We start from the raw sequence: 22,913 nt of genomic DNA, 5'->3' as shown, positions 1-22,913 counted from the left end.
CCAAAGGGCTGGACCTGGGAAAGGGCATGGTGTGATTGTCCCCCTAAGACACTGTCTTTGGTTTTCAAGGGCTTCCCTTTCTATGTCTGCTCCAGCTCCACCCAACCCTCACCAGCCCCACGGTGTGCTGCATCAGAACATTTTGGGCTAATGCAAAACCAGGCTCCAACCAGCTCCCTCTGGTGGGAGAGAATCTGGGGGTATGATCTCACTTAACTTTGTAAGATTAGCACAAACTCGAATCTATTTCCTTATCTTTCCTTCTTTCTTTTTTCTTTTTTTTTTTTTTAACCCAGGCTAAAGTGCAGTGGTGCAATCACAGCTTATTGCAGCCTCAAACTCCTGGGCTCAAATGATCCTCTTGCGTCAACTTCCTGAGTAGCTGGGACTGCAGGCACGTGTCACCATGCCTGGCTAATTTTTAAATTTTTTTGTAGAGATAGGGTCTTGCTATGTTGTCAGGGCTGGTCTAATCCATTTCTTCAAGGCCTTCCCTGTTTTCCCCGTTCCAGATTGCCTGAGGTTTTCTTTAGCCCACGAACCTGATCAGCTTGTAAACAGTCCTCTCTGGTTTGGTATCAGGAGTTGCAGGGCCCTCTTCTGCCTGATGTCCAGACAGCTCTGTGGCTCGGTATGACAAGATCCTGACTGAGCAGTTCCCATGAGCTCCTGCTAAGTCACATAGGATGGAGAATGAAAGGCGGCAAGCGAGCTTTGGTGCTTCCATGCTGCAGTTCAAGGAAGTCCAGGGAGCTGGGGGAAGAAAAAAGCTAGCTCTGTCAGTTGGTTCTAAAAAGAACGATGGAGGCTCTTAGACCTGCAATCAGCGTGTTCATGTCTCTAAACACATTGGGGCAGGGGAAGGGCTGCAAGGGTTGGCTGTGATTGGTGATGACTGGTCTCTACTCAATAGGTCTCAAAGTTCTTGTCTTCTTTATAGCTACACACCCTAGCCTTTTTTCCTAGGTGCGTATTATCTTGTTAAGGATTCTCCTTTAAGCTGTCTGTCCTTCTTGAGGTTTTAGCATCCTTAGAATTGGATATATCCTTGTGTTTACTTTCGCCCATTTGAGACACTGGATAAAGCCCTAAACAGCGCCATTTTGTTTTTGTGTTTTTGTGTTTTTGTTCCATTGGCTCTTGGTTCCAGCAAGGAGACAATGTGAGACGCTTGGTCCAGGGCCAGGCACATCCTGACAGGCTAGGCTGATTGACCTCTGAGAAGCTGAGCACACCCTCCACTGAGGCAGGAATATTCTATGAGAAGGACTTTCCTGTTTTCCGATTCCTTGAATAGGCAAGTTAGAGAATGGTGGTCTTCTGTCTCCCACGCCGTGTGTGTGTGTGTGTGTGTGTGTGTGAACACTTGTCATTTTGAAAAATTGTAAACTTTATTTAGCAGTTTCTTTCTCACTGGGGTTTCTCCTTGTGTGAAACTTTAATTTTATAGCTTTGGCTGTTAATTCATCATGGGCACCACCATCAATAAATATTTATTGAGCTTTCACTGGGCACGGCATGTTGAAGTAAGAACTATGTATTTGACTCAAGAGGAGTTCATAGTGGATGGGGTTAGATTTTGGGAGGGGGCAGAAAAAACCTCTTTGAGGTCTCTTGCAACCCTGGGATTTTATGGCTTTGTAACCAAGGTGATAGGGTCAGTTTGACACATATCAGGCAGTCAGCTCGACATACATCAGGCAATCAGCTCGAACAAGAGAATGGGGCTTTGAGAGGTACATGGGCCATCACAAAGATAGTCGCCTTTAGAAAACCCACCCAGAACTGGCAGTGAGACTGCCATCAGCAGTGCTAGCAGATGTCCACTCTGGGACCCAGGGCTGCAAAGGGATAAAGTGGATCTTCTTGGTTTTCCTTATAGTGCCCTGTGGAAGTAAGTACTTGCTGATTGAGTGATGGTTTGCCCTTTGATTCTGGAATTTAAAAGGAACATAGGGCTGGGTGTGATGGCTCGCACCTGTAATCCCAGAGCTTTGGGAGACTCAGGCAGGAGGATCACTTGAGGCCAGGATTTTGAGACCAGCCTGGGCAACATAGCAAGACCACAGCTCTACAAAAATGAAAAAAATTAACAGGCATGGTGGCATGTGCTTGTAGTCCCAGCTACTTGGAAGGCTGAGACAGGAGGATCGCTTGAGCCCAGGAGCTGGAGACTGCAGCGAGCTATGATTGTGCCAACGCACTCCAGCCTGGGCGACAGAGAGACCCTATCACTAAGTGAACTACAATAAAGTAGAATAAAATAAAATAAGGTAAAAGAAGTCTAGAGCTTGGGAAAGTTTGGAGCCTGTTAATGCTTTGGTAGGAGAGGACGGAGTGTCTTTTTTATAGACTTCTCAGTGGCAGTCTAGTGGGTGCCCCTGAGCACTATGGGCTAGGAGAGGGCTATAGGAGGGGAGCTGTGTGAGTCTCTTGGATCCCTAATCAGAGCAGAAGCAGCTAGCCTGCCGCAGCAGTGACGCGGGCCTCCTAGAGGGTTTTCTTCAACATTATGAAGATGAACAGGGCTCTGAGAATTCCCTTTGGACCTGAGCTCCATGCTAATTGCCTCCATATTTATGGGATGATGGGAGGACCACAGTGGCAGCCTCTGAAGTAGAGTCTGGGGATGATTCAGCAAAGCGGCCCTGGCTCTGGTGATTGTTGGGCACCGGTAGATCTGAGCCTCCAGGGGCCCAGAGGCTCAGCTCCCTGTTGCCAGGCAGGCACGGTGCTATTATTATTGTTATTATTATTATTATTCTCTTTTTCTAAAAGAGAAGCTGAAACAGAAATCCAGAAGGGTGAAGTGCCCAGGTAATACTATGGGAACCACAGAGTCAAGGTAAACAGGAGCAGGAGAGTCTGTATCTCCTGCCTTCCAGCTCATGGTTCCTCCACTGCCAAGGGGAAGGGGCAGGGAATTGAGTAGTGCTGATCCTGTCTTTTTCATAAAAGATGATGTTCGGTGTCTCACAAGCAGCTGCTTTTCCCCTGAGGTTAAACTGGTGGTATTAGGGCTGAAGGAGGCTGATAGAGAAGCAAGGAACTAGGGAATACTGCCTGGTTCCATATCTATCCCTAGTTGGACTGTGGGCTAGCTACCTCGCCTTGCCGAGCCTCGGTTTCCCTATCTGTAAAGTGAGGATAACAGGGTTAACTATTTCATGGGAATGTTATGGGCAGTGGATGAAATGAAATATACAAGGAGATTCAGATCATGCTTGGAACAGAAGTTAGGGACTAATAAATAGGTGCTGAGATAGGGAGGCAGTCTGGTGGTGAAGCGTGCACACTCAGAGCCTGGCTGCCTGAGCCCAGAGAGTTCAAGTGACTTGCCAGGTCACGCAGCTAGTGAGGGGCGGAGTTGTGGTGAGTTCCTAGTGCAGCAGTCTTTCCAGATCTTTCCATGCTGGATCCTTTGATCAGGGGACTTGGGGTGGGGCTCTCCAGGCACCAGTGCTAGTCATAGGAGGGGCCCATCTTGGGGACTGGGGTGTCCTCTTAGGATAACTGTCAGTTGGTAAGGGGCACAGCATTGGAGAGATGGCAGGGGCTCCTGGGGAGATGGCTCTGGGGTGAGCCTGAGCCTCGACTTTGTCTACCACAATGCAGTGGCTGAAGTCTCCTCCGGGCGGAGCGGAAGCCACATGGGCTGGGCAGGGTGGGAACACCCTCTGTGCTCTGGGATCTCGGCATGGCTTTCCATCAAGCCTCTGTTGGTGCCTCGTTCCCCCATAAAGCCATTATGCACTGGGAGAATTAATCATGCCGTTAGGTAAGCATTATGGCACTTTTATGGCAGCTTTGAAGCTAATCTGTCACTAATGCCTGCTGGATTATCATGATTTCTTGCAGTTGTGATTCATTAACTCGAGGCCTAATGGTAATTCTATTAAACATCTTCCATCACTGTTTGCCCCAACATGTCCCCACTCTCTGTTCTATTGTGCTGTTGCCGTGGCGTGACTGACAACCTGTGTGGTCTCCAAAATTGGAGCCCCAGCGAGATGAACAGATTCCCCAGCCAGCCAGCAACTGCCCAGCCATGTGTCTACCCACTGCCCAAGCTCAGAGCACTTCTCCTTGCCTCAGCTTATGCTGCCAATGAGCATTCTTTGCACTTTTTCAACTTTAGCTTTTCTCCAGAGGAGAACACAGTGCCTTTCCTGAAATCCCCATCACTGCCTTTAAGAGGGCAGATGACGCAGAGGTGAAGGTGAGGCTGTATAGATGGGTGAGTTTCAGAGTGAGACAAGAGCCCACAGCTCCCAGGGGACTGTTAGACCTGGCAGAGCCTACCTGGGCTGGAAGTGTGTTTGGGGCCCGGAGAGAGAAATAGGAGCACTGCTAAAGAAATCTGGGCACACCCTCGCCTTTTTCTTCTTGCTCAGGGCTGACAGCACTCACAAGCTAGGAGGCAGGCAGAGGGGCAGGGGAGTGGCTGTGGTGCCCATGTCAGGCCCGCCCATGTTCATAAAACCCCTTGCTGAGAGCTTTCAGCAAGAGATGGTTCTCTTAGGCTGTCTGCTGTCTGCAAAAGGTCAGCTTCAGGGCAGGGCTTGACGGATGGGCTGTAAGCAGGCAAGAAAAAGCAAGCCAAGGAGGAGGGGGCTGGTGTGTGTGTATGGGGTGGGGGGCGGGAAGAAGTCGGTGGAGACCTGGAGCGTGGGCTCTGTCCTGGTGCCAGAGGAGGCTGGGAGGACAGCGTCTTGTTCCTCCTTCCGCACCATCCATCAAGCCCAGCGCTGATATCTCAACAATCTGTAACCTCCTCCTCCTCCTCTCTAACCTGCTCAAGTGCGCACCAGCCCTGACCCTTCCTGCCCTCACTTGGGCCTCGGCTGCTGCAGGTTGATGGATGGCTTCTCCTCCCGCCGGGCTTGCCTCCCCGCAGCTGGGGAAACAGGCACAGGTAGAGGTGGGGTCAAGCCCGGGGCAGCCACAGTGACCCTGTCGCTGAGACCAAGGGACCCTGTGTTCCCAGCTGCAGCAGGTGCTACGAGGGAAATAGAAATAGAACAGAGAGGAAACAAGCAGCGAATTCCAACTATATAAGGAGGAAAGGGGAAAAAAAAGCACCCCAAACCGAAACCAAAAAACCTCTCTGCATCCCGAGGTCTTCCAAGACTTCTGAAAATCTTGAACATGGTGCGATGTCTTCTGTGCACAGTTACAACGTAGTCTGCTCCAACCCATCTGTGTTTTCTCACGCCTGTGCGCTTTAAGAACCGCTGAAATGAAAAACAAGTTAAAAAATCCGTAGATGTATATATAGTGAGGCTGAGAAAGAGAGGACAGTACCCTGCAGCCTGTACAGCCTGTATTTGCTTTTTTATTTAAATTTTTTTTTTTTTTGCCAGTGTTTGTTGCAAGAAAAAGTGTATAAAAATAATCCTTAGACAACTGGAGTAAATATTCGCAACACATCAGCCGAGTGGAAGTCAGGATCCAATGCTCTCATTCTTCCTTTTTCTGGGCATTGATAGGAGGAATAGAAAGGATCTTTGCCCGTTTTTCCAGCTTCTAGGTGACTGCATTTCTTGTTCTAGTTGAAACTGGTTCTTCCGGTGAGGTTTGCAAACTGGACAGGTGGGGTGAGGACTGGATAGCTGATCCAATAATGAGAGGCTACATTGAGAAGCTCCCTGTAAGAGGGCTTAGAGGTCTTTTGAAAACAAAAAGTGACTAGCAGCCTGGAAATGGTGTGTGTGTGTGGTGGGAAGTGCTGCTGCGGAGGCCTGAGCCCGCTGCCAAGAAGGTCAGGTGAGAATTCAGCTCGGCATTGGTGGACTCCTCCTTGGCCTTGAAGTCCCCTCCTCAATACCTCAGTGGCTGGCCACCCCTGCAGCCTGGCACTGACATCCCATGCTGCTTCCTTGTTGGAACTTTTATAGGCCGAGTGGGATGTCCAGGAGGGACTCTCCAGGCATGGGGCTTGGGGGTTTTGGAATTTTAAATGAATTGAAGAGAGACAGAGGTGGTAGGTGGGGGAGAGGGTGTGAGTAGAACAAGAGAAGGACAGGGTGAAGAAAGGAAATGGGGGAAAACAGAAGTTGCAAGCCTGTGGGGAGAGAGAGAAGAGCGCGAGAAGAAGATCCAAGAGTGAGATGGTCACGGGACGGGAGTCAGCAGGGAGAGCAAGAGGGAAAGGAAATTTAATGAGGGCAACTTGAAGGCCAGCGTTCACCAACAGCTGGCGGGGTGCCGAGTTTGATCTCCTTGTGAGTCAGGCGGTCTGATTAATCGTGGCCTGTGGAGGAGGACGGACACCTGGCCCTGCTGCTGGGCTCTTTGATCTGCAGGGTTTCTCAGGGCCTGTGGGAGGGGAGTTGCATGTATGTGTGTGCTCCCAGGGCACCGAAGCCTCGCGGGGGCTCCCTGGGAAGGAAGCGAGGGAGTGTAGGGAGAGCAGCCTTCGGAGAGGCCTCTGGGGCGTGGGGATGGGCCAGGAGGGGCCTGGAGCCTCCTGGAACTGAGAGGCCTGTGAGGACAAAACTCCTGAGAGGGAGACTTTCAGGGGAACTTGGAATGGAGAGGGGCCACTTGGAGAGAAAAGTTCATAATCTCAGGGTGATTTGGCATTCACCCCACTCTCGTTCTCTGCAAGGGAATAACTGAATGGTTAGGGAGAACCAGTGGGAGTTGATAGCCATTTGCACAAAATTATGTTGCTTGTGGCTACAGGGCTGAGCCCCATTCCTTCCTTCCTTCCTTCCTTCCTTCCTTCCTTCCTTCCTTCCTTCCTTCCTTCCTTCCTTCCTTCCTCCCCACCCTTCCCCTTCCTTTCTTTTTTGAGACAGGGTCTCCCTCTGTTGCCCAGGCTGGAGTGCAGTGGTGCAGTCATAGCTCACTGTAGCCTCAAACTCCCGGACTCTAGCCATCTTCCCACTTCAGCCTCCTGAGTAGCTGTGACTATCGGCACACGCCACCACTTCTGGCTAATTTTTAAATGTTTTGGAGAGATGAGATTTTGCCATGTTGTCCAGGCTGATATGGAACTCCTGGGCTCAGGTGATCCTCCCTGCTCAGCCTCCCAAAGTTCTGGAATTATAGGCATGAGCCACTGTGCCCGGCCAGAAGTGAGCTCTTCTAGGGGTATGAGGAGAAGGGGGATAGAGGGCTCCCTCGAACTGGCTTCATTTTATACATGTTAGATGAAAACAGATTTGAGAAAAGAAAGCGACATATTGCCAAAAAAAAAAAAAAGCCTCAAGAAGAAGGAAAAAAGGAACTAAAACCCTAATGCCCTTAAAAAAGAAAACCAAAAAAAAAAAAATCATAAATTATGTCTTTGGACTAAATCCATTGGTGTTCTGCCAATTTCAAATAATAGTGTAACTTGATTAAAAAACTTTACAGGATTTAAAGTTGTTGGCTTCTCTGGCTCCTCCCTGAGACTTCTCCTTAAGTCACTGTCTACAACAGGCTAATTTGTTCCCAGATTCCTTAATCTTCAGTGAGTTGGTGATGACGCTTATAACTCCGTAGCCATATTTGAAGCGTTCATGATCTCTTTCGCTCATGACTTCCACCTAGAATTTGAGGAGACTTAAAACATTACCCTGAACATGTGCTGCTATTGAAATGCAGTGCGTGTGCGTGTGTGTGTGTCTGTCTCTGTGAGTGTATGCTTATGTGTAAACTTTTCAGATTTTGCCTGCCTTGGTCTTCTTCTGGGCTGCCAAACTGTTGCTCATAGCTGCCTTACGACTCCGAAAAGGGAAGCACTGGGAACAATAAGAATGTCTCCCAAGAGTTCAGCCAGAACACAGGATGTGGGCTGGGAGGGATACAGGCTCCGATGACTAGCAGCAAAGAGAATTCCACAGTGCAGGGCACATTTTCTGGGGGGATTGGGGTTTTGACCAAATGCTATTAGCATGGTTTAGGGGGCAGCTGTGGGGCAATGCAGAGGGCATCAGCCTTGCCTCCAAAGGCCTGAGTTCAAATTCCGGCTCCATGACTCAGTGACTAGCTGCGTGACCTTGGGCCTGCCCCTTCATCAGTTTCCTCGTCTAGAAAATGAGATAAGGAAAAATCCTTGCCTCGCAGGCTTGTTCTGAGGATTAAATGCATTAGTTTCTGTGAAAGCACCCTGTAAATGATGAAGCCTTCAATTAACAGCAGGCATTAGAATTACTTCTTCTATTACAGAAATCCAGGTCTCTTTAAACGCTTGTGTTGACAGCAGGGATGTTTTAATTTCAAACAGGGTTGGTGCACAGAGGGCATTAGCAAAAGGGGCCGCCGTGTTACCTGCTCCCCTTGGGGCACCTGCTCTCCTGTAATTATTGTTTACTAATAAGTATGTCTTGTTCATCAATGTTCCATTAAACCCGGCTGCAGTCCTTCACCTGGCTGGCCTGGCTTTTCCGGATGGGACAATGCAGGGGCGCTGGGCGCTCCGTCCAGTGGTGTGTCTCTTGGCCTCTGGGCTGCTACACCCGGCCTTTCCAGGGAGGGTGGGTCCCCAGCTGAGCAAGTGGCAGCAACTCCCAAATTTGTGCTCTTGTGCACAGTTTCATTCCCACTTCAGCCTGTTTTGCTGTTCATAAGAGGAACATTGCATACCTCCAGCCTGGGCTCCCTGGAGCTTCTCTGCTTGTCAGTAAGTCCTCAGATGTGAGGATATTGCTACGGTTGAAAGCTGAATGGGTGGTGTCTGGAGCTCAGGCTCTGGGTTCCAAAGCCTGCTCTGGCATGGGGCCTGTGGGACCTGGGACATGCCATCCCTGACATGGAGGAAACCCTTCCAGGCCTCTGTAAAACTTCTGATCAGTGTTGGGCACAGAGTAGATGCTTAAGAAATGATTATTTTTCTAAGATCAGTAGTGTTGACCCTGGGTGTACATTGAAATTACTAGGTAAAATTCCAAGGCCCAGGCCCCACCTCTAGAAATTCTGGTTGTTCTGATCTGAAGTTAAACCTTAACAACAATAGTGTTATCAAAGTTCTCAGGTGATTCTAACATGTAGCCAAGGTTAAGACATACCAGAGTGTCTCAAACTTAATGTTCATACATATCAGCTGGGGATCTTATTAAAATGTAGATTCAGGCCAGGCACAGTGGCTCATGCCTGTAATCCCAGCCCTTTGGGAGGGCTGAGGCGGGTGGATCACCTGAGGTCGGGAGTTTGAGACCAGCCTGGCCAACATGATGAAACCTCGTCTCTACTAAAAATACAAAAATTAGTTGGGTGTGGCAGTGGGTGCCTGTAATCCCAGCTACTGAGGAGGCTGAGGCAGGAGAATTGCTGGAACCTGGGAGGTGGAGGTTGCAAGGAGCTGAGATTGCAACATTGCACTCCAGCCCAGGTGGACAACAGCGAGACTGTCTAAAAAAAAAAAATTAGCTGGGCATGGTGGCATGCACTGGTAGTCCCAGTTACTTCGGAGGCTGAGGCAGGAGGATCGCTTGAGCCTGGGAGGTGGAAGTTGTAGTGAGCCGAGAGCACACCATGGCACTCCAGCCTGGGTGACAGGAGTGAAACCCTGCCTCAAAAAAAATTGTAGATTCTGAGTCAGAAGTGTGGGGCAGTGGGACTTCTGCATTACTACCAAGCCAAGCACGCCAATGCCACGATCATGGACCACACTTTGAGGAGCAAGTCTCTATCATTCCCCGATCCTTATGCCCCAGTGTGCCTGGCCAAGACTATGGATAGGAGGCCCTGGGAAGCAAGTGGAGATGAACACATGAAGAAACTTGGGTGGAAACTACTGAGGCTTCCTTAAGAATGTTCCTGCCAGGTACCAGTCCTGGAATCTGCAATCCTCTAGACACACACACACACACACACACACACACACACGTGCGCGCGCGCGCACACACACACACACACACACACACACACATCTCCTTCTGAATCCAGTCTGGAATACCCATATAAATAGCAACCAGAAGATGTTTTCCAATATTTCCAAGTTATCTAGTTTGAAAATATTGGAAATATTTCTATGTTTCCAAGCTTTCTAGTTCATTCTTGAAGATAATCAAATGAATGAAAACATTTGCCATGGAACATTGAGGACCCATGCCATGAGTTTAAATACCTACTCATAATACTCAAGTGGAAAAGTAATCCCTAACCTGGGCTTAGGGATTACCAGATGAAACTCCCACAGGTGACTAGGATAATGCAGCAAAACCCAGTGAGGCTGCAAAGTGACAGGTAATACAGGCACACGGAAAGGAGGATGCATTTGTTCGAGGGAGACAGAACTGACCATGGAACAAAGGGTTTCTGGGCAATGGGAGACAGTCTTTCAGACAGCACTCAGCCTGGAAGATTCTCCCTAGAGCCAATGACAGGGATGTGTATAAACTACTGCCCCTCTCTCACCGCAGGTGCAGAAGATGTTTGGGAGCAGGCACTTTTGCAGTAGACACTGGCAGAGTTGGTTTTCCAGGGAGTAAGATCAAGCTTACAGCACATTTCATGAATTAATGGCATGGTACATAGAGAATGGAATCACCAGAGTATCTAGCTGATGAAGACTCCTCATTAAAAAATGAGCTTTGAGCAACTGAGGGTCCTCTGCAGCTAGACTCTCTGCTAAGACCCTGAAAAGGATGAATCTGACATGCAGTGTGGATAGTTATACCAGCTAGGGGCCACCCCATGTGACATGCAGCATGTGACATGATCTGATCAGCACAGGATGAACAATTAGGACCACCATGGAAGAAGAAAGCCCTGATCTGACCCACCTTGGAGGATTTCGCTCAAGGAAAAGAATTTTGTTGTAGGGTTGAGGGCTGGTAGTTGACATGAGAACCACATGGTAGCCACGCCTGTCTCTTTGGTTGGACCGTACAACTGGGCCTAAGTTAACTGTTCAGCAAACAGTATAGAGTTTTTCTTTAGGTTGGGATCATCTGTCTCAGTATTTTTTTTTTTTTTTTTAAGACAGAGTCTTGCTCTGTCATCCAGGCTGCAGTGCAGTGGCACAATCTTGGCTCACTGCAATCTCTGCCTCCTGGGTTCAAGTGATTCTCCTGCCTCAGCCTCCTGAGTAGCTGGGATTACAGGCGTGTGCTACCATGCCTAGCTAATTTTTGTATTTTTAGTAGAGATGGGGTTTCTCCGTGTTGGCCAGGCTGGTCTCGAACTCCTGACCTCAGGTGATCCGCTCACCTCAGCCTCCCAAAGTGCTGGGATTACAGGTGTGAGCCATCGTGCCTGGCTGTCTCAGTTCCTTTTTATTGTCTTTGTAAAGTCACGTTGTTAGAAACAAATATCTGGGCACCATGAACCCAGCTGCCCATCACTGTCGAGGTCCTGGTATATCGGGTGGTCAGGCAAGGAACCCCTTTTCCTGCAAGCTTCCTGCACACAGCTTATTCTTGCCTTGAGATACTACCCATTTCCAGAAAACCAGAGGAGAGCACCACACAGGCTTCCGTTGGCTTGTCCGAGCACATCCACCTCCAAGAAGTCTGGGGCCTGTTTGCATGCAGAAATCGACATGTGCCATTTCAGAAATCTTGTTTTATTGCTCCTTTTCCTCCGACAGTCCCCCTCCTCTGCCACCGCCTCTTTCCCTCCTTAGGAATTCTAGTCCCAGATGTGACTCTCTCTGTTTCCTTTGGCTGGGAATTTGCCGTTTTCCCATAACCCAGTCAGGTTGCCTGTTAGAGAAACCAAAAAACTCCAACTTTCTGGGAAGACAGCTAATTAAATTCCCAAGGAGGGAAGAGGAAAGCCCCCTCTGAAACAGACAGATACGACCTCATAGTATATAATAATCACAGAAGAGAAAGTGCCTGGGTTGAGCCTAGGGAGATGGTAACATGGTGTTCTGTTTCTTAATGTCCTCTGCAAAGAAGCTGGCCCTGGGTTTAAAATAGCCCTCTGGTAAAAGCAACTATTTAAAGAGTATTGAGGCTGAAAAATGCAAAACAAAGTGTTGTTGATTAAAAACACATGGTTTGTTCTTGAGCCGTGAGTGGCCAGCAAAATCAAATGTGACAGTGTTTTGGCTTTTTCTATCCCACAAGACATGATGGTGATTTATTAGAGTGATGTCAGCTGTGGTTAAAAAAGTTTGCTGTGTTGTCTTAATAAAAAGAGGCTTTACCTTGGAGCTGTCAAACTCCCTTTCTCCTCTGGTTTGAAGCAGTGGCTGCAAGGCCCTTGGCTCTCCTGCAGGGACTTCTCCCCAAGGGGCAGACTTCTGCCTTTGGAGAGTGCATGAGGTCACCGGGTGCTGCATGTTTCTTGGTGGAGATGCAGGATGGGCTTTAAGGCAGGGGCCATAGCCCGATCTTGCTTTACTTGGCTTGTAGGTAGAGAGTACAGAGAAGCTGCACCCATCTTGGAGCTGAAGCATGGCTTGACCTGGCTGGTTTAAGGTGGGGGGCTTTGGATCGAGGGAGCACTGTGGAAAGGGAAGTTTTTAGCCTGTGGGCTTCTGTATGCATGTGTGCTTGCAGATAATGAGAAGTTGGGCTGTTAGTTGAATAGAAGGGAAATTTCCTAGTCAAAGCTCCTTTGGTTCTAAGGAAGAGAAACTCCCCAAATTCAAGTAAACAAGATTTATTGAAAGGACATAACAGTCCATTTCACAGACATCTAAGAAAAGAAAGACCATCTGGGGAAGGGGAGTGGGCAGCCCGCACCAGAGCTGCATTCTCTGCTTTTCTGGAGCTGTGTGGCCTCTTACTGCTGCTGGGTTTCTGTTCTGTTCTCTGCCTAGGGCTTTCCTCAGGGAGATTCTTAGCTTTTGCTTCTTCGTGGCTTTGGCTGGCTGCACATCACCTGTGTCCCAGTGCTGCGCCATCCCATTCTTGTTTAACTCTGCTCATGATTCTCCACCTTAGTCTCATCGCCTCCACCCCAAATTCCTAAGAGAAAATTCAGTTGTCTTAATGTGAGTCAGTTATGTGTCTCTGATGTAATCAGCTCTGGAGCAGCGCTAGGCAGGTCAGCTACAGAAAGGAACTGTATCAGGGAAATTGAAGAAAGCAATGACAGGGATGTGTTTTTGTCCTGAGGATCAGTGGGGGCTGAGACTGAGAATTGGCCATCACTGTTTCCGAATGCCCCTCTACCTCTTCCCCAGGAAGGGTCATGATCGCACTAGGAAGGTGTAATTCCAGGGGATAGTTTTAAGTCTTTCCTGTAGACATGCCCAGAAAGTGAAAAGATGACATTATTATTTTTTAAATTAGTAACATGGTTGCTTTTTCCTAATTACATAAGAAACACACAAATGATTGTAGAAAACTTGGAAAACAGCAACACACAAATATAGAAATAAAAAGCACCCTTAATGTGAGATAACCGCCGTTAACATATTGGTATATTTCCTTCTATTTCTTCTTTAAGTAGTAGCCTGAGGCTATGTGAATGTTCTGTGCTTAAGATCTATCTTTTTGCTTTAATTATATGTCTTCAGACCCTGTAAGACTTTAGGATTCCTTGAAATTTATTCTCATAATTTTCCCTGAGCACACAGAATTGTTTTTTCCCCTGGCTCTCTTACCTTTTCCTGTAAGTGGTAGCTCAAATGAAATCGGTATTTGTTAGTACCTCTCTGCTGCCACCTTACTTTCATGCAAGTCACCACTCTCCCCTCCAGACAACCAGGATTGTTATTATTATTATTATTTGGTTTGTTTATTTTCTGAGACAGAGTCCTCACTCTGTCATCCAGGCTGGAGTGCAGTGGCACGATCTCGGCTCACTGCAGCCTCCGCCTCCTGGGCTCAAGCAATTCTCCTGACTCAGCCTCCCAGGTAGCTGAGATTACAGGCACCAGCCATCACGCCCGGCTAATCGGCTAATTTTTATATTTTTAGTAGAGACGGGGTTTCACCATTTTGGCCAGGCTGGTCTTGGATTCCTGACCACCTGCCTTGGCCTCCCAAAGTGCTGGGATTACAGGCATGAGCCACCGCACCTGGCAGACCATGATTGTTTTTTTTTTTTCAACTTTGGGATCCATTTTATTACTGAAATTTGAAGAATGTAATATAAACACTCAATTTTACTAGCTCCCAATATTCTGATGGTGACCCTAAGTTATTTCTAAATTCTGAGACCATGATTGTTTTTAAAATGCTTCCACTCTTGCACTCTTTCCACTCTCTTCTTCTGGGTGATCTTTTCAAGCCACAAATCTGTTCTCATCATTCTTTGCTGGAAATCCTTTGCTGGTTATCTCTTGAATTTAGGATAAGATAGAAAAGATATCTAACAAGTTCCTCCTCTGCCTCACTTGCTGAGAGTTTCCAACCACATGCGCCTTCTCTCAGTCCTTTGACTAACTTCACTTTCCTGCCTCAGGCCTTTGCAAATGCTGTTCCTGCTGTTCCAAACTGCTTCACCCAAGTCTTTAGTTGGCTAAAGTGGACTCAGCGTCCAGCTCTCAGGTCAAATGTTGCTTCCCCAGAGAAACCTTTTCTTGACACTGGCCCTCTATATAGTCCCTCAATATCCCTCTTACTTTTCCTTCATGCTGCTTATTACAGTTTGTAATTATACCCTGATTTGTTTGGTTGCTATGGAATGTCTCTGTCCCTGATAGATATGTTTGTCTCTAAGGCAGAGCAAATCTGTTGTGTGAAAGGTTGTACCCTATTCCTGCTTTCATCCCTGGTCCCTGACTCAGCCACTGCCCTCACTTCCCCACCCCAGTGCAGTGCCTGCCATAGATTAGATACTCAATCGATGCTTGTTGAATGAATGAGTGATGCCGATTCTTACCTGCTGCAAACATACAAGTGAGGAGCCATAACACTGCAGCATGTTGGATTGGGATGTCTAGGCAGATAACATGGTTTTCAATAGACCTTGGTGTGAGTAGCTTTAATATTTGCTGTAATTTGTGAGTGTCCCTAAGGCTCACGGCATAATTTGCGATTGTGGTGAGGTCTGAGCTTGCACCGCATGTGCTGAGATGCCAGTGTGTGAGGCAGATTCCTGCCTGGTGAGTGAGACAGATTTTCAGTGCTGTAGCTACACCTTAATGTGGCTTTGCTACTCTCTGCTTCTCACATCCTATGGGGATCTTTCTACAGGGAGAGTGCATTCTAGAGCATCTCTGGCAGCTGGTCAAGGCTCTGGGATTGAATACCTCCATGAAATAGAGCTCTCTGCCTCTGAATCAGCCTGGTGGACAGCTCTGGCTGTTCGATAGAGCTTCCTTGAGTTAAAGAGAGATTTAGCTTCCTTAGAACCTTTAACTATTGACTGCCTTCTGTCTTTTGAGGAAACATCAATTTCATTCAAGGGCCATTTACTGAACGCTGGCATTATATATAGCAGGTGACATGCCAGGCACTGGGTGTGGAGCGCTGGGTAAGACACACTTGAAAAGCTCAGCTTAGGGAATACCAATTGCAGGTCACAATGTTCTCACATAATTATCACAACAACTTTGCAATGTGTGTGTTATTAGGCTCGTTTTACAGGTGAGGAAATAAAGTCTTGGAGAGTTCATGTGACTTGTCTGGGATTCCACAGTTTGCATGCAGGGAGACTATAGCTCAATCTTAAATGTTTTGACTCCAGCCTATTGTGCATTTTTTACTTCCCTAAGCTGAAAATATGAAATTTCTGCTTCATGCAGCCCCTAGTATATTTGAGCGTAGCTACTGTACTCCCCAAATCATCTTTTCTCCTGCATAAACTTGATTCCCAAAAGTATGATGATGCCCAGTGGGTCTTCTTTGGACCCAGTCATGTGGAAGTACCCTTCCATGTTGCAGAAGGTCCTGGCTATTATACAACACTCTTCCATTTGCAAACCGGGAGGGCCTCAGCCTTGGGTACAAGATTCAGAAGAGGAATTTGGGGTGGTTATTCTCCATGGGCAATGAAACTGGTGGTGAAGCCTGGGGCCTATTTCTAGGACAATTCAGGAGGTACTTTCCCAACAAGCATCTCAGCAGTGAAACATGAAGGATGTTCAGATTTCTAGGGCTGGATGTCTGACACTCAGGACATCTTCTCTACGACATCCCTGTTAGGGCTTTTGCAGGCATCTGTCTAAATGGGTCACATTACAGGGCACTCACAACCATCTGAGAAATCTCTAATAGACAGATCTATTAGATTTTACTCAACATTTGAGGAAAACAATCCCTGTCATTGTGTAGCTTCTGCTTACTGGTCTTCTTTTCGCTGGGCAACTTAAGCGCAGTGCCTCTCTGACATGGCAGGCTGCCACACATTAAATATGCAGGGAGTCCCAAATGGGGCCCAGACCTGGTTCAGGCAGGTCTGGGCAGGCCTGGTGAACTGCTGCATGGGCCTGTTAGAAGCCTATGTGCACCAGAGATCATGGAGCCTCCTGGGAAGGAGCTCGTCTTGAAGGAAGAAGGAACCAGGCATTAACACCTAACTTGGTCACTGAGCTTTAATTGTGACAGGAAAGGAGAGGTTCTGAGCATGGCCCAGTGTACAGCTCACAGCAGAATCTGTCTCACTACTCAGCCCCCATTGGACTTCGTTAAGAGATCTATGGAGAGCAAAAAAGCTATGCACAAAAATGGAAAGAATGGTTGACACTAACATGTGGTAGTCACTGGGGAACCAGCTCTGGGACTCATCTTGAGACTAACACGAAACGGGGAGAGAGGCTCACTCCTCCACTGCACTGCAGAGCCTGCGGTTCTCTGGTCTTGAGCATCTCTGTGGTGGCAAGGACAGCGATCCCCAGCAAGAGGTAGCAGCGCCCTGTGTCCTGGCAGAGGCCTGGATCAGGCCAATGAGAGTAGAACTATGGGGACCAGAAAACTGCTGTGTGTGTTGAGCACACATGAGGCACCCCCAAGTCACTCTAGAAATACTGGGGGACACTTGCAAACAGGCTGCCGCTCTGAGTGAGCTGGTGAAAGTTAAGTCATTGTTGGCTGGGTGCGGTGGCTCACACCTGTAATCCCAGCACTTTGGGAGGCTGAGGCGGGTGGATTGCCTGAGGTCAGGAGTTCGAGACCAGCCTGGGCAACATGGTGAAACCCTGTCTCTACCAAAAATACCAAAAATTAACCGGGCATGAAGGTATGTGCCTGTGGTCCCAACTACTCGGGAGACTGAGGTAGGAAGATCACTTGAGTCCAGGAGGCAGAGGTTGCAGAGAGCCGAGATTGTGCCACTGCACTCCAGCCTGGGCAACAGAGCAAGGCCCTGTCTCAAAAAAAAAAAAAAAAAAAAAAAAAGAAAGTTACACTAATGGGATCACATGCAAATGGGCTGATTGAAACCCAGAGGACCATCACCATCCCCCGTCCTCTCTTTTCCTGGATGAACATTCCCAGTGTTTTCAATCTCTTTTCTGAACTGACCATTCTGAGCCCTCCACCATTCTTGTTACTCTCTTTTGAAACCATTCCAGGCTGTGAGAGCCAAAGCTGTTTGCTATGAGGGTTTTCAGAAATCTCAGAATTAATCTGGCCTAACATTCTTTTTTAGGCTACATGAAAGAAAGGCCCACAAAGGCTTGAAGAGACTTGTCCCAACTCTATGTCCAGTTAGGAGAAGAGCAAGGACTTCACTCAATACACACGGCCCTGTTTTTTTCTTTTATTCCCATCCAGATTTATTTACCCTTTATTTTTCTGTTGTTGGGTTTGTTTCTGAGCCAGGGGCTTGCAACGTCTGGGCAAATGCAGCCATTATGTTCTCATGGTCAGGCATGGTAGAGTTTTGGACTATCCAGCAGTTGTCAGGTGCATTTGGTTTTAACCCTCTAAGGGCGAGGGAAACAGACACAGCTTTTCACTGACCCTCAGGGACTCTGCATTCTCTCTGCAGAGACCAGCAGGAGGAGCCCCTCAGTGGAAAAAGCATCTCTTTACTTGCAAGGAATAAGGTCACTGCAGGTGCTCTGTGCAGAAGCAGAAAGTGACAGAAGGAAGTATGGTCCAGTGACCCCAAAACAAGTGGGAAAATTGCCCACATGGAATAACTTAGTGCTCAGACAAAAAATCTCCCAAGAAAAACTGACCAGGAAAATGTCCTGCTATCAACTGTGGTTCCAGATGGAGAGCTGGGATGGGTCCTTGTAGCCAGTGGAGTCCCTTTGATGTCAGAGATGAGACGTAAGATTCTACACATCTCTGTCTTTGGCTGGGGCTACACCAAAACCCTGAGATGGCCTGCAAAGATCAGCATTTCCTAGACCACCCTACCCGCGTTCAAGGGTTTGCTTTGTATGTTGAATTCAGGGCTAGCAAGTGGATGCTGCTTCTATGCCAAGGCCAGTGCATTCATGGTGCCTGAGGAAGCATGGTGTTTGAAAGGAATCTGAGACTGGATGTGAGGAGGAAATGAGTGTTCTGATCAAGCAGCAATGTCTCTGTCAGCCCGAAGGGGAAAAGGATGGGGAGGAGGTTTGAATACCAGGTAGGCAGAATAATAGTTCTCCAAAGATATCCATGTCTTCATCTCTGGAACCTGAGAATATGGAATGTTACATGGTGGGGGTGGGGATTAAGGATGCAGATGGAATTAAGGTTGCCAATTTGCTGCTCTTGACAGGGGAAGATTACCCTGATTTTCTGTGTGAGTCCAAAGTCATCATAGGGATCCTTATAAGTAAGAAAGGGAGACCAGAGACCCAGAGTCAGTGATGTCATGTGAGAAAGACTTGACTGGTCATTGTGAGCTTTGAAGATGGCAGAAGGGGCCATGAGTCAAGGAATGTGGGCAGCCCCTAGAATTTGGAAAAGGCAAGGAAACAGATTTCTCCTGAGTCCCCAGAAAGAAACACAGCCCTGCCCACCCCCTGATTTTAGCCCTGAATTTAGGAACCATTTTAGATTTGTGACCTCCACAAGAGTAAGATAATACATTCTTGTGGTTTTAAGCCACCACATTTGTGGTATTTTGTTACAGCAACTGTAGGAAACTAATTCAGATTTCTCTTTTCCACTCATGACTCATGAAGAAAACGTTTCTTACCTTTAGCCTACAGTTCTTGTTCAGTTGCTCAAGCCCCTTCCCTCAGGACACCAGGAACAGAATCGCTAAGATTGCTAAGACCCCAGAACAGTTTCCCGTAAGGATGGCTATAAAAGCACCATCAATATTCAATCTTTAAAAGGCAATGGCACAGGTTATGCATTACCCTCTAAACTTGAAGTGTGTAGTTAGGTGGGGGAGGGTCCCAGGGATGCAGGTTCAGAGCCGGGTGTCAGCCCTTAGCAGTCACTGCCACACCATACAGCATGTTCTGGGGACAGAAGGTTAGGCTGGGACTCCCCACACTCATCCTCAGTTTTCTTACCCATGAGATGAACATCCAGTGACCTCAGGAGGTCTCTTTGATGTTTTATCATTTGAAGTATTCAGAAATGATGCTGGAGAAGAGAAATGAAAAATAATGGAACATTTTCTTTTTTTTCACTCTGTTGCTCAGGCTGGAGTGCAGTGATGCAATCTTGGCTGACTGTAGTCTCCACCTCCTGAGTTCAAGTGATTCTCCTGCCTCAGTATGTTGAATAGCGGGGACTACAAGTGTGCAGCACCATGCCTGGCTAATTTTTGTATTTTTAATAGAGACGGGGTTTCACCATGTTGGCCAGGCTGGTCTCAAACTCCTGACCTCAAGTGATCCACCCACCTCAGCCTCCCAAAGTGTTGTTACAGGCATGAGCCACCGTGCCTGGCCAAAACAATGGAACACTTTCTAAATAGCAAGCATGTTAGTTACATAATCTCATTAGTTCCTCACAACAGTTCTGTGAGGTTGTCATGTCAGGTGGGTTCCATTTTATAGATGAGAACATAGAGGCCAGAGAGAGGTTGAGCAGTTTTTCAAGTCATCCAGCTAGTAAACTGAGGAACCAGGAATTATATCATGACGTCAGAAGCCTATGCTTTTCCCTGTGATGTCATGACACCTCCCAAGAAGGACCACGGCCCCGGGTCATGCTGATGACAGGATCCAGGTGGTCAAACTGCAAGCTGAGCCCAGGAATGATGCTCTTGGGGAAAACTCTTTGGCATTCCGGGATATCAAAACTTGGGGTAACAAGAATAATTCTTTGGTAGCACAAGTATCTGTGATTTTGTTTCTTTTCCTGGTTTGCCTGGGAGGCAGTTGTGTGATCTTGCCTAAGTCACTTGCCTTCCCTGGGCTTCAGTTTTCCGGTCTGTGAAAATGGGGAAGACAAACTAGAATCAGTGTTTTCTACTCATTCTTGTTTTAAAAAAAATCATACCCCATCAGCTAAGGAGATTTTGTTGAGTGTTACTTGCTGCAATTTATATTCAAAAAGCAAGTAATTTTCTTATTTTCAAAGTAAATCATAAATATGCTTTTTCTCTTTCCTCTCCTCTCCTCTCCTTTCCTCTCCTTTCCTTTCCTTTCCTCTCCTTTTCTTTTTTTTTGAGATGGAGTCTCCCTCTGGCTCCCAGGCTGGAGTGCAGTGGCACGATCTCGGCTCACTGCAACCTCTGCCTCCTGGATTCAAGAGATTCTCCTGCATTAGCCTCCTGAGTAGCTGGGATTACAGGCATGAACCACCATGCCCCACTAATTTTTGTTTTTTTTTTAGTAGAGAAAAGATTTTGCCACGTTGGCTAGGCTGCTCTGGAACTCTTGACCTCAGGTGATCTGCCTGCCACCCAACCTACTGGGATTACAGGTATGAGCCACTTTCCCCGGCCAAAATGTGCTTTTTCAAACTGCACATTCCTCTCTTCCTCCACCTGCCTTTCTGGGTGATGTGGTGATCTTTCCTCTGACCTGACATATTGCCCACTCTTGAGGTCCCTTTACTTGATAGTTGAGAATTTTCTCTGCATTTAGGATTGTTGGAGACTTAGAATATATATATATATATATATATATATGTATATATTCTGGAAGAGAGGAGACAAGCAGCCTTTCTGAGTTGCCCATCTCTTTTCCTGGAACCTCCCCCTGCCCCCACTATTTTTCTTTGCCTGGAACATTTATCTCTCTGTGTTCCCCTCTAGGCCACCCCTTGACTCTCATGTCTGCGGAGCAGCAGGCAGGCGGCCCTCCTGTTTGAGTGGGCCATCTCTCAGCAAGATTGCAAGAGTGGTTATCTTTTATTTCTGGCATGTGCTGCAACACAAGAGTGATCCCAGCTTCAGAGATTATCACCTCTCATCTTTTATTCTCCCTTTTCTCCTCTCCTTTTTCTTCCTGCAAGATAATAAAATTACCAGGCCAGCCCTCCGTTCCTCATGGCCTAGTCAGAGTTCAGAGATATTTGCTTCTTGGGTAAATAGCTGTAATCTCCCTGACCAGGCTTTCTCGCACTTAAGTGAGTTAAATTCTCCTGGTCTAATCCCCCATGTGCTGTGGTTTTTTGAGTATAAAGCTTTTGACATCTTTTGATATAAAATGTCAACTCTGGGCCACTGGATCTGATTAGGCATCAGGCGAAGAGTGACTAGCCTGGAAAAGAGGGGCCTCTCTGCAGAATAGCTTTGGGTAGAAAAAAAAATACATGGAAAAGAAGCTTTGCTCCAGAGAGGAGAGGAGGAGGGATATGTGGGTATTTGGCAGGGCCAGGGATGTCCTCAGTCATGCAAATCCTTGGTGCCCAGTCGGGAACGCAAGGTCCTGAATCGAGCCGGCCCACCACCCATGCCCTTCCGTGTTTGCCCTGACATGTGCTGGACATAGCGACCCACGCAGGAGGAGCAGGTGGCAACGTGCCTGAGCTCAGGTGACACGCTGTTTTTACTGGGAGACACAAGATGTACGTGAACCTCTAGGAAACAATACAAGGGCAGATTAGGATCAAACGCTAAGTCACACTTGGCTCAAATTTTCAAAAATTCTGGGGTGTGGGCAAGATTCATAAAGGGCTAGAGGATGGAAGATCAATATTGTTTGACAGGAAAGTGTCTGAATGCAGATGGAGGCTGTACCTATCCTTGAAGATTGGATAGGTCGTGTGTGTGTGTGTGTGTGTGCATGCGTGCGTGCACGTGTGCATTTGTGTGTGTAATGGTGGTTTCAGTGAGGGTGGCAGAGCAACTTTCCAAGTACCGGAATCAGTAGAAATAGGCTCAGGAGTAGGAATGAGCCTGGTGTGGATGGCATCCAGGGGGGACACATGTGGGACACTTTTTCAAGCTCAGGGGCACCCATGGGTGCCCTGAAAGGGCCCCGGCTGGGAAGCCATCCTTGTTTCTATGTATATTCGCTGCACGTTGGCTTTTCTTTCTTGTCGACCTTCCAGTCACTCCTAAATTCGGTTCCCGCTCTCTGCCTCTCCCAGCCTGCCAGGCTGCCCGTGCCTCCGCCAAGCAGTGACATTTTCCCAAGCACAGCCTGTGCCGTTTAAAGCCTGAGATGCGCTTTGGGGTTTGACTCCCCATGCCACCCTCCCTTCAAATGTGTGTGTGTGTGTGCGAGAGTACCGATTTTTGGCCTTGAATCCCCATTAAAAAGAAAAAGAAAGTCAATTGCCAGGGCCAAGGATTAATGAGCAGTTCATGGAGCCTGAAAAACTGCCCACCTGTCCCCACTGCTAGCTGCCCTTGAATGCAGGCAGAGCCATCCGCAAGTGATTCTCTCCTCTGAGAGCAGCCCCAACACCCTGGCGGGGGTGCTGCAGGGGAAAGGAAGGTTTCACTCACTCATTGTCCTGCTTGGGGAAGGACAAGGCCCCAGGTCACCTCTTCAAGGGTTTCTGTCTTCCACTGGTCACATCTCCCTATAGAGCTGCAGGAAGTGTGTCCTGCATCCCTTCTCTATTCTCAAGTTTTCGTCTCCTCTCTTCCAGTAGCCAGTCCTGCCAGGGTTCTGGCTGTGCCGGGACAGTGAATGGCCACTCCGTCCCAGATGAGCTGCAGGAAGCGTTTCGATGTCATGTGGAGGTGGGTACCTTCTCCCCATCCTCGGCTCCTGTCCCTGAACACGTTCCTTGCAGCTCCTCATGGCCTGCTTGGGCTCTTCACTCCCAGAGGCTCCC

The 22,913-nt window shown here is 47.8% G+C and overlaps 1 long non-coding RNA gene across 3 annotated transcripts in view, besides 5 other annotated features; it reads left to right on the top strand.

Moving 5' to 3' along the window:
• Positions 1-22,913, top strand: part of LINC01605 (long intergenic non-protein coding RNA 1605) — a 196,324-nt gene that overhangs the window by 47,925 nt on the left and 125,486 nt on the right. For 2 of the 3 annotated variants that reach the window (NR_170186.1, NR_170188.1), the window contains one exon: positions 22,725-22,818. This is a non-coding gene — a long non-coding RNA (long intergenic non-protein coding RNA 1605). Of the gene's footprint in view, positions 1-20,513; positions 20,604-22,724; positions 22,819-22,913 lie in introns of all 3 variants that reach the window. The other variant, NR_170187.1, reaches the window with a different exon arrangement.
• Positions 3,097-3,596: an enhancer, noted in NCBI's record as "H3K4me1 hESC enhancer chr8:37405837-37406336 (GRCh37/hg19 assembly coordinates)". NCBI's record gives its function as "activates a minimal SCP1, AML or CMV promoter by ChIP-STARR-seq in primed H9 embryonic stem cells {active_cell/tissue: H9 hESC(primed)}" and the evidence as "EXISTENCE:reporter gene assay evidence [ECO:0000049][PMID:30033119]".
• Positions 3,597-4,098: an enhancer, noted in NCBI's record as "H3K4me1 hESC enhancer chr8:37405335-37405836 (GRCh37/hg19 assembly coordinates)". NCBI's record gives its function as "activates a minimal SCP1, AML or CMV promoter by ChIP-STARR-seq in naive and primed H9 embryonic stem cells {active_cell/tissue: H9 hESC(naive and primed)}" and the evidence as "EXISTENCE:reporter gene assay evidence [ECO:0000049][PMID:30033119]".
• Positions 4,214-4,748: an enhancer, noted in NCBI's record as "H3K4me1 hESC enhancer chr8:37404685-37405219 (GRCh37/hg19 assembly coordinates)". NCBI's record gives its function as "activates a minimal SCP1, AML or CMV promoter by ChIP-STARR-seq in naive H9 embryonic stem cells {active_cell/tissue: H9 hESC(naive)}" and the evidence as "EXISTENCE:reporter gene assay evidence [ECO:0000049][PMID:30033119]".
• Positions 7,946-8,446: an enhancer, noted in NCBI's record as "H3K4me1 hESC enhancer chr8:37400987-37401487 (GRCh37/hg19 assembly coordinates)". NCBI's record gives its function as "activates a minimal SCP1, AML or CMV promoter by ChIP-STARR-seq in primed H9 embryonic stem cells {active_cell/tissue: H9 hESC(primed)}" and the evidence as "EXISTENCE:reporter gene assay evidence [ECO:0000049][PMID:30033119]".
• Positions 21,902-22,114: a silencer, noted in NCBI's record as "fragment chr8:37387319-37387531 (GRCh37/hg19 assembly coordinates)". NCBI's record gives its function as "represses an EF-1alpha promoter that drives an FKBP-Casp9 reporter gene in an ReSE screen in K562 erythroleukemia cells {active_cell/tissue: K562}" and the evidence as "EXISTENCE:reporter gene assay evidence [ECO:0000049][PMID:32094911]".

Source organism: Homo sapiens, chromosome 8 (assembly GCF_000001405.40).
Source record: "Homo sapiens chromosome 8, GRCh38.p14 Primary Assembly".
Lineage (NCBI taxonomy): Eukaryota > Metazoa > Chordata > Mammalia > Primates > Hominidae > Homo > Homo sapiens.
Note: the sequence above shows the minus strand (reverse complement) of the source record. Positions and strands in the feature narration are given on the sequence as shown.